Source organism: Homo sapiens, chromosome 2 (assembly GCF_000001405.40).
Source record: "Homo sapiens chromosome 2, GRCh38.p14 Primary Assembly".
Lineage (NCBI taxonomy): Eukaryota > Metazoa > Chordata > Mammalia > Primates > Hominidae > Homo > Homo sapiens.
In genome coordinates this window covers 145,871,697-145,882,649 of record NC_000002.12, presented here as the reverse complement: position 1 = coordinate 145,882,649, position 10,953 = coordinate 145,871,697, and the positions used below count along the sequence as shown (strand labels likewise).

At 41.0% G+C, this 10,953-nt stretch overlaps 1 long non-coding RNA gene across 1 annotated transcript; it reads right to left on the bottom strand.

Annotated features, from left to right (window-relative positions):
• Nucleotides 1–1,038: 1,038 nt before the first annotated feature.
• On the bottom strand, nucleotides 1,039–10,424 carry LOC105373666 (uncharacterized). Its single transcript, XR_923420.1, has 3 exons — nucleotides 10,390–10,424; nucleotides 9,408–9,483; nucleotides 1,039–1,095 (listed from the first exon to the last, which is right to left on the bottom strand). It is a non-coding gene; the product is annotated as an uncharacterized LOC105373666 (long non-coding RNA).
• Between the last annotated feature and the right edge of the window lie 529 nt (nucleotides 10,425–10,953).

Below are 10,953 nucleotides of genomic sequence, written 5' to 3'. Positions count from 1 at the left end.
CATAATTTGAAATTCATGTCATTTAAAACTAATTTTCCTATAGGAATAAACATAAAATTTTATTATTTCAAATTTTTTATGAAAACTGAGAATTCATTAATATTTTATATTGCACTCTTACAAATTACCATAATATAGCTTTACGTAAAATATAACCCCCTACTTTGTGTATATGAACAATGACAAGGTTACAGGTGAATGTCTTTAATATATGAGGCTAGAGAGTTCTTTAGTTTGTTTTCTGACAGATATTAGTAATGGCAATCTCTATGTAACTATTTCAAAATAAAAATAGCAATGTTTTTGAGAGTCTAAATATGTAAGAAATAAATACTGAATTAAGAGTATACATTATTCACCAAGTTAATCTGCTTTGTTTATAGCCAAAGTGAATGGAAAACATTTCTGATTCCCACGTTCTGAGCTTAGGACCTGTGCTTCAAAAATAAAGGGAACATCAAGCCTTAAATGTGCTTCTGATGTTAATGATTTCTCCTCATATTTCAGGGAGGTCTGGATGCTGACTCTGACAGCCAAGTACAGAAAGCTTGAAAAGATCGCCTTAATTCTATCAGAGCATGCATTTTGTGGTATGTTAATATTTTGCATTAAGCCACTTTTGAGCTATTAAAGCTTTTTATTTTCTCCTTTTTTCTTTTCAAGTCTGTGAATCAACAGAAAGCACTGGCCCATGTATTGATTGTATTTCCCCAGGTCCCGTGCTGCATACCAAGCTTTCAGGATTAGTTTTGGAGGTGGCTGCGGTGACTCCATCTTCCCCCAGTGTGCTCTCTTTGCCCTTCCTTAGGCTTATGGAATTAAAAATAAAGAGATAATTTCAGACAGCTGGAAAAATACTCCTGTTCATTTTATATTAATGGACAGACTTGGGGATATGTGCTGCTTGTATGCATTAGGAGAGCAGTTCATATATTAAAAAAAAATATATATATATAATTTTTATTTTTATTTTTTTTACTGTAGACATATTGAAGTGTTTTCTACCCAAGTGTGAAGTTCTTTTCTGAAGCTCTGTCACATGTTCCTCCTCCATTTCCTCATGGTTCAGAAATCTCTGCTCTATCAGTGAGGTTCCTAGCAAGAAACAGATGTGCTTTAATTTGAGTGTGACCACCCCACTCCACAACAATTTCAGGTGTTGCCAATGTGATAGTGAGAGGTGACAGCGTGCTGGCAGTCCTCACAGCCCTCGCTCGCTCTCGGTGCCTCCTCTGCCTGGGCTCCCACTTTGGCGGCACTTGAGGAGCCCTTCAGCCCGCCCCTGCACTGTGGGAGCCCCTTTCTGGGCTGGCCAAGGCCAGAGCCAGCTCCCTCAGCTTGCAGGGAGGTGTGGAGGGAGAAGCGTGAGCGGGAACAGGGGCTGCGGGTGCGGCGCTTGAGGGCCAGCTGGAGTTCAGGGTGGGCATGGGCTTGGCGGGCCCCTCACTCGGAGCAGCCTGCCGGCTCTGCCGGCCCCGCCGGCCCGGGGAATGAGGGGCTTAGCAGTCTGGCCAGCGGCTGCGGAGGGTGTACTTGGTCCCCCAGCAGTGCCAGCCCACCTGGCGCTGCGCTCGATTTCTCACCGGGCCTTAGCTGCCTTCCTGCGGGGCAGGGCTCGGGACCTGCAGCCCGCCATGCCTGAGCCTCCCACCCCCTCCATGGGCTCCCGTGGGGTCCGAGCCTCCCTGGTGCCACCCCCTGCTCCAGGGCGCCCAGTCCCATTGACCACCCAAGGGCTGAGGAGTGTGGGCGCAGGGCGCGGGACTGGCAGGCAGCTCCACCTGCAGCCCCAGTGCGGGATCCACTGGGTGAAGCCAGCTGGGCTCCTGAGTCTGGTGGGGACGTGGAGAACCTTTATGTCTAGCCCAGGGATTGTAAATACATCAATCAGCACTCGGTATCTAGCTCAGGGTTTGTGAATGCACCAATCTACACTCTGTATCTAGCTACTCTGGTGGGGCCTTGGAGAACCTTTGTGTCCCTACTCTGTAACTAATCTGGTGGGGGACGTGGAGAACCTTTGTGTCTAGCTCAGGGATTGTAAATGCACCAATCAGCGCCCTGTCAAAACAGACCACTGGGCTTTACCAAACAGCAGGACGTGGGCGGGGCCAGATAAGAGAATAAAAGCAGGCTGCCTGAGCCAGCAGTGGCAACCCGCTCGGGTCCCTTTCCACACTGTGGAAGCTTTGTTCTTTCGCTCTTTGCAATAAATCTTGCTACTGCTCACTCTTTGGGTCCACACTGCCTTTATGAGCTGTAACACTCACCGCGAAGGTCTGCAGCTTCACTCCTGAAGCCAGCGAGACCACGAGCCCACCAGGAGGAACGAACAACTCCAGACGCGCTGCCTTAAGAGCCCTAACACTCACCGCGAAGGTCTGCAGCTTCACTCCTGAGCCAGCGAGACCACGAATCCACCAGAAGGAAGAAACTCCGAACACATCCGAACATCAGAAGGAACAAACTCCAGACGCGCTACCTTAAGAGCTGTAACACTCACCGCGAGGGTCTGCGGCTTCATTCTTGAAGTCAGTGAGACCAAGAACCCACCAATTCCGGACACAATAGTATTGAGTGGTGGGTACTTTCCAAGGTTATTGGGTCATGAGAGATCCTCCCTTTGTAAATGGACTTAAAGCAGTTATAAAACAAGCTTCCCACAGAATGAGACAAGCTGCTTTTCCAGGTTCTGCCCTGTGAGGGTACTGTGTTTTTCCCTCCAGAAGATGCAGCCATAAGGCGCCATCTTGGAAGCAGAGATCAGCCCTCATCAGACAACTGAAGTTGCCACCACCTTGATAGCAGACTTCCCAGGCTCCAGAACTGTGAGAAAATGAATTTCTATTCTTAATAAATTACCCGGTCTGAAATATTTTGTTATTGCAGCCCATAAACAGAGTAATGCAATATAGTACACTCAGAGCAGTTTAATAGAAAGTCTGGAATGAAGGCAACCAGCTAGAGATGTTTGAGGCACCTGATACATTTGAACTATAGGATGCCATTATTACTTCTAAGCCTGGAGGAGAAAAGGGAGGGGATGGTGTTACTGGAGTCTTAAGACAGAAGGAGCCATGAAAGAACACTCGCCCTGACACCAGCAAAAAATAAATAACCTGCATTTCTCTTCCAGTCCCTCATATTCTGCCTGTATACCTACCATTCACCCCAATTAACTGAAAGCCCAGAACAACAATAACAACAACTAAAACAACAAAAACCTGTGGGTAGTCCATAAAAGCAACTTCCAGTCACAGAGCAGGGCAAAGGAAGGCCAAAAAGGAATCTGGGGGAGCAAATGGAGAATAACCAGCTCATCTGCCCTCTTATTGGTCTTAAATCAACTCTTGCCTGTAAATTCCATCCATCTGCCCTCCCATCCTCCCTTTGGCTTTCATTTCAAAGCAAGGTCGATCTATTTATTTTTGTTTTAAAATTTATTAAGTGTAGCTATACAGTAAGCTCTATAGTAGAACTGAGAATACACGCTAGATCAAATCCTTGAACGCTGGAATACAGCATCATGACAATGAGCATGAAAAGGGTGTTTGAATGGAAGGCACACCAAGACAGCCACTACTCCTCCTTCGTCTTGACTCCTCCTCCTTCATCTTGACTCCTCCCTATCGGTCCACTCTGTAGCCAGTCGTCTTCTTAGCAGCTTTCTCTGTGCAAAACCCATTTCTTTCCATGGGCCCTGCCTTGCTATTCTTTAGAAAAGTTAAACTACACACACACACACACACACTTTTTTTTTTTTTTAGCTCTCAGAATATAACACTTTAATGTTAAGGAAGCCAATTATAAGTAAAATGTGAGTGTTGGGGCTCAGAAAATGCTACCGCAAAGTACTTTGAACTGAAGGACTGAATCATCAGAAGCAAGATGATTACTCTGACCTTCCCTTGCTTTTCTGCATCAGAGCTGGCTGTAAAGAACTTCTCTGACCTACCCTTCCTGAAAGTAGTTTATAAGACACTTTTTTCAAAGGGGTCCTGCCCCACATCTAGTGGGAAGGAATGCTACACCGAGAGTCCAAGAAGCATCTGAAGTCAGGTGTTGGCTAAGAACCCTCCCTTAATCTATTACCATTAGATCATATTCTTTGGTCCAATCACATTTCTACACAGCTGTTCATTCTTTATGGAATGTAAACACAAAAATAGACACGTTTCTGAAGCCACTTGTGTGACATAAAACTTTGATTAAATAAATGTGTTGTGCTTTTCTCTTGTTAATCTGTATTTTGCTATACGAGTGCTGTCATGACCCTTAGGATGGGTGAGGAAAGATATCACAAAATAATGTGACTTTTAGTTATCAGTTTTTTTAATATTAATAAGAAAAATAGAAGTGCACAAGAATATTCACAGGAACATATATAACCCCAGGAATAAACCAATGGTTGTGCTTCAAGCAGTGCTAATATATAGAAGAGAATATACTCCAATTCTTTTGATTTTCACACACTTTTTTTTTTGAATGCACAGGGAACCACTGGCAGAAAAGCCTGCATCTTGCAACTCACTTTCAAGATCCTTATTAAGAACCATCCAAATCCACCAGCCTCTGACTGACTGTAGCCATGTCTTAAGCTGTTGGAACTACTCCTATTTCTACTACCAAAAATGTGCTGGGGTAGAGGAGAACAGTGCATTGAATACTTCCATCCTACTACAGAGTGGGAAGGATTACTGTTGAACTCCCAATTATTTTGCCATAGACACATTGTTTACACAACACAGCTGCTGGAATGACTTTGATGACAGGAACTTATTGAGGCCTTTGGGGGATGATGAGATTTGTTGGAATCATGATGTTTGTTTGCTGCACTTGATTGATGTACCATCACCAGTCCTAGGCTTCAGGCATATTGAGGCATACACAAGTTTTGTGGACTGAACTGCAAGCCTAAGCCCACTATTAAAACAAATCAATCCCTTGTTTAAAAGCATCCAGTGTCTTATACAGCCTGAGAGATAAAGTTCAAGCTCCCTGACAATGTAGACAAGGCTTCCTATAATCTAGATCTTATCTCCAAAATTCTCCCTGCTGAAAACAAATGGTAATTATCCAATCATCCCATGCTATTTATTTCCCTCTTTCTACTTTTCTGCTTAGAATGCCTAATCTATTCTTAAAAGCTCCTCGTCTTTAAGATTCATCTCATCCCTTTTTCATTCCGCAAAGCCTTCTCGGAGATTGATCCCCTCCCCACTTACGGTGTTCTTCATAGAACTCCAATGGCATTTTGCATTTTCTTCTATCAGGGTTCTGAGCACATGATACCCTAGTGGATCCTGTTCTCCTACCAGAGGTTCTGCTCCATTCCACAGCCCCCTGCAGGCTGTATCATTCCATGTGTTCCACATCTAGCTTCCAAATGTAGCCTCACGGATCCATGTCTTCCCATAGAAATTCAAGCATACTCGGCTTCCTGTAAGTTTAGGACCTTTTCTGAAGGTATAAGGAGCTCCAAAGAGAAACACATTTTATGACTCCCTCAGTCTCCAACATCATACTGAGCTGTTCTACCTCAATTCCTTCTGTAGCCTACCTTCCTACTATGTGTCCCACCCAATTTGTGAACATATAGATACTGGAGGACAAGGACAGGTTATTTCACCACTCTGACCTCTCTTCTGGAAGTTGTCCTGCCATGCTGGCCTGCCTTCCCTATCACTCTGGGAATTCTGCTAAATAAAATATTATCCATCTGCTGATGTTTCTATCTCCCTGAGATGATCATGAATTCCTTGACAGCAAGAATTGTTTCTAACTTACCCTTATATCCCCAATGTTGGGCACAGTACATAGAAGATAGTAGATCCTAATAATGCATCAATATTATAAAGGAGAAAATGATTTTTAAATCCCAAGCCACCACTTGGAGTTTTGGATCTTAACCTTTTTGGTCATTAGGGAATGCTGCACTTTACAGTAGAAGAGAGGAAGGCTGCTGAGTTTAAAGTGGGCTTCAGGAATCTATCAGTGATACTGTCTTTCCTAGATTTTTTCCCATTAGAGATCTCTCTAATGAGAATCTTGAACTTAGCTGCAGTTATGAAAGAATTTTGATTAAGGGGAAATGAAAGAGGTAAAGGCTGTTTTTTCATAGTCATTGGTTTGCTTCAAATTTCCATCCATCGTCTTTCTCTAGCTTTTCAATTTCTGGCTTTATTGTGGGTACTTGTAGTTCCTAGAATACAATTCACTAATCACATTAATTTCTTATATTACAAATTATTTAAACAAAAAGCAAATTTTACAAATGTCCTTTAATTTACAGGTCTCTTAAAGATTAGGAAAGTAAGACTATGGCTATATATATTATCTGATGTATAATTTATACATGTATGAATAATCAATTTCATCCCAAATAAAGAAATTCCTTTTTTAAATTTGCTTGAGATTGGGGAATGAGGAGGAGTACATGAATGGGAGTTAGAGTAGAAATTAATTTAGTAATAAACATTAATAGCAAAAGCTTTATTGAACACAAGCTTGTTCATGTTATTCTTGCTCTATGACAAAAAATTAATAAGGGCTTGAATCACTGCCATTTATTGAACACATATGCCACATGACTCTATAGACCCACTCCCTCGTATGATGTGAGCTTGAGATCTTAGTGAAAGTGTAAAAATGTTTCACATACACTAGGATATTTTTTTCTCATGTTACAGCTAACAAAGATCATAAAGAGTGGTTAAGTCCCAAAAAGTAAACCAGATCCCAAAACTCCAGGAGAGATTCATTCTACATTGTTGCTTTTCTTATCACAAAACTATCTTCAATTTCAATCTTCATATGACCCCATAATCACCAGCAATAAAACTGGCTTATCAGAATATTATTCTTTTCTGACTTAGTGTTTACATAACTAATTTTTATAAATACCTCCCAAAATATCTCTCCTTATATTGTACTTGACTTTATATTATTTATTTTTATGGTCTAAACTTAATGCATAATTCATCCTTCATAAATGAATCCAGCATGGTTCAACCATGGTTGGTGGACTCCTTGAATTTACTTGTAAACCAGTAACTACTTGAATTTACTTGTAAACCAGTAATTGGATATTTTACTCTTCATTGGACTTCATTAAAATTAGCTGAACAGTAAATTCACCATTCCTGGTCAGATCACCCAAATTGGGGAGAAGTGCACATCTTAATAAAATAGTTACGGTTACCTTTCAAAGGATTGGGCTCTGGAATTACTTGAGCCCTAGTAGGCACTGCTTTCTGAGCACTTTATTGTCATGGAGGAGCTCTGCCAAGAAAATTTAAAACAAATTCTTCTTCCCAAAGTGCCAAGCATTTCTCCATTATGAAATTTCTACGGAATTCCATGAGAAGTCTCCTCTGTAAAATGAGCCTCCATACTTCTGCACAGCTGCAATACCTGGCAACTTCCCTAGCCCTAGGATGTGAATACAGCAAACAACAACTCCACTGGCTGTCAAAACCGCGAGCAAGTTCTGGAAATGGAAGCACGCTGCTGCTCTCACCACAGAAAACGAGGCACACACTGATTTTATTACCTGGGTAGTCTCAACTAGCAAGATGCTCCTAAAAGGACAGGCAGACTAATGGTTTATTTCTGGCATGCCAAGTGCCTTGGTAGAAGAAATTAATTTTGTTTTTCTTTTGCTATCATCCTTGACTCTCTCAGCAAGGACAATTAAGCAATGCTGATTGAAGAAGTCATCATTGTGTGCTTAAATATGTTAGGATCCAGTCAGCAAAGATGGGCACAAGCATTCTCTAAGAGCTTTTCTTCCTTTTACTTCCTAGGAGAGCAATATGCCATCTTGTGAACTAAAAGTGCCCCCTGACCGACACCAAAAATTAAAGACAAATGTTCTGCATATCAACTGCAATGCAAATCATTCTGCTATCCTCTGGAGTTTGTAAAGAAGATAATTCTTACTTCATTTGCTATAGGGAGGTGCATCTTTCTGGCATCTTCCACAGTACTGTGCTGTCCTGGACTCTGTCCAGAGTCAACAGCTGAGCAGCATGATGTAGCCTATGATTCAAAGGCCCAGGGCAGAAGGGAAATAATTCCCCAATGCCACTTTGTACTATCTTGCTTTTTACATAAATAAATCAACATCTTCTGAAAGATATTTGATTGTGTAGTTAGTAAATTTAAGAAGTTTGCTTCATGTGAAGATGCAACAAGTTATATTTAGTCTTTTAAAAATTGGTCACTGTTGAGAGAAGAACCACACCTGCCTGAAATTATTTTTAAGGTATGCATTTGAGTAAAAATATCACTGTTATCAGAATGTCAGGTTATTCCACAATGAATTTTTTTCCCAGAAACATCTTTTTTTTTCTTGCTACTCTAAAAATATAACTGTCTTAGAGAGCAAAGTTGAAAACAAATACACATTTTGCTGAATTCTTTATATTTCATTCACAGACCTTAGCAAACAGGCTTTAAGATGTATTTAATTTAAGTAATTTTTAATGCATTTAAAATGAACATTAACCTGTAACATACAAGCCTACAGCAGGCCAGCTTTCAAGCTGCACATTGAAAAATCCATATTGAATTAGACAAGGTAAATAGAGCCAGTTCATGACTCTTAAGTAGACTTGACATTTACTGTTGGAAACATATAGGATCTGTTGCTGCTACTTAGTCTAAAAAGGAAAAATGAGTCTTGGGCCCATTTTTGAAATTATGAGGTACCATAAAAATTGTGGCATTCTGAGGACCCGCCCTTTCTAATTTTGAAAAGTGATACAGAATTTGAGAAAAGATGGAAATCTTACTTTTACAGTCAACTGTGCTCAACAGGAGCTGGAGTAGAATTTGTCTACCATGGCACTATTAAAATCTTGGGGCAGATGATGTTTTGTTGTGGATGTATCCTATACTTTGTGGATGCTTACCTCTATCCACTCACTGTCAGTGGCACCTCCAGTCATAAGAATTAAAAATGTCTCCAGAGATTTCCAAATGTCCCAGGGGGCGTTGCAAAATCATTCCTGGGAAAGGACCACTGCTGTTAAAGTGCTGCATAAAATCTTTTGAGTCCTTCTCCATTGTTGCAGACGGTAATCTCCGACAGTTGACACCATGGATTCCTTCAATGTTGAAAAGGTGCTCTTCCTTATTTTTGTCTATGTTGTTCCTGGATCCCCTCTTGGCTGCCTGTTTACTGACTTCTATTTCTCTTCCTTCATGCCACTCAATGAGTCCGGTAAGATTCAGCTGTGAACACTTTCTCTGTTTCCTTTCTCTTCTACCATGTAGTTTAGTTCATGACTGACTGCTTAATGTTGTTTCACCTATAGTTCAGGCTTTTCTAAGCTCTAGATTTCCACCTATCTTCTGGAAACTATGCACTGATATACTGTAAACTTCTTATAACCACCACATACCTAAAAACGACCTCCATATCCATTCACGTTTTCTGTTCTTTTAACTATTATTGTCTTCATCAGCCTCCAGGTGTTCCTGGTTTTAAAATAGAGAGTTGTCTCTTCACTATATTTAATACACAATCATTTGCCCAGAAATTCTATTATGCATTCTGTCCAGTCATTTCTACCTTGGGAAAGCCCTTATGTCAAAACGTTTTTTGGTAACCTCTGGATCTATTCTAACCCAGGCTCTTACTGCTTGCTGCCTTATGTTTGAAGATATTTTCCCGATTGCCTCCCTGTCACTTCCTTTGTCTTCCCTAGCTATGTAGTTCTAGAAGAGAATCCTTCCTAAAGCATAATTCTGATTATAATTTTCCTGCTCAAAACTAATTTTAAATTGCTCCCTTGCCCCTAGACAGTGACAGCGTCCATGATCCAATCCAAATCTTCTAGTTGTTTTTTTTTCACTCCCCTTACCACGCCACCTTGTAACCATTTCCTCCCCACTTCTAATATTAGACCAATGAATCATCTCAATATACCTTTTTACCTCACCTTGCAACCATTCCTCAAGCTCTTTTCTTTAGAAGAAATGTTCTTTCTTCTCTCTACTCAATCAATCCTACTTACACGTCAAGATTCATATCAAGGTAAAACTTCCAGATTCCCTGACGATAATCTTTCTCTCTCCCAACCTCACCAAAATTCAACATTTTGTATTGTACTTTTTGCATTCTTAAATAAGTTACTTGTATTTCCTAAATTATGTAGCATAATGTTTTGTTCTTGAAAGGTACTTAGTGTTTGTTGAATTATATCTATATCAGAAGATGGGGCTTGTTTGGGCCCTAGCTTCATAAACAGTAAGAATCTGACGTTGCATATTAAGAATTATCCACTGTCACATTCTTCCTAAATACCTAAGTTCTCGGTGGCAGATAGTATTTCTCAAAAGTGACCACAACAATATTTTCAGTCCAACACGCTTTTCTAGTACCTTGCCACTCCTCTTCAAAAAGTCGAGTGTATTTCCCATCCCTTTGAAAATGGGCGGGGCTCTGCAGTTGACACAACAATAGAATGCCGCGCAAGTTATGCCACATGACTTCCAAGGATAGGCCCTCAAGGGCAATCTGGCCTTTCCCTTTCTTCCTCTCTCTAGGATACTCATCCTTGGAACTCAAATTCGCACACACGGAGAGACTCCCGCACAGAGAAGAAATGAGCACCCTAACTGACAGCCAGCGTGGACCATCCATCAGCAATGTGACTGAGGGAGTGAGCCTTCAGATGACTCTTCCAGCACCCAGTCTCCCAGTTTTCCTGCTAAGGCTTCAGACATCATGCAGTAGAGAGAAAAAGCCATTCGTGCTCTGCCCTGTATAATTTCGGACCGAGACTATAAGTGGTTGTCTTAGACCACATGTTTTAGGGTAATTTACTATGCAGCCATAGTGACTGGAACATACTTCCAAGTAAATCTAGCAGAAAATACAATAATATTTTTGTTTATTTTCTACTCATATGTAAGAGATGAGCCTTTTCTCTCATAAAGAAATAG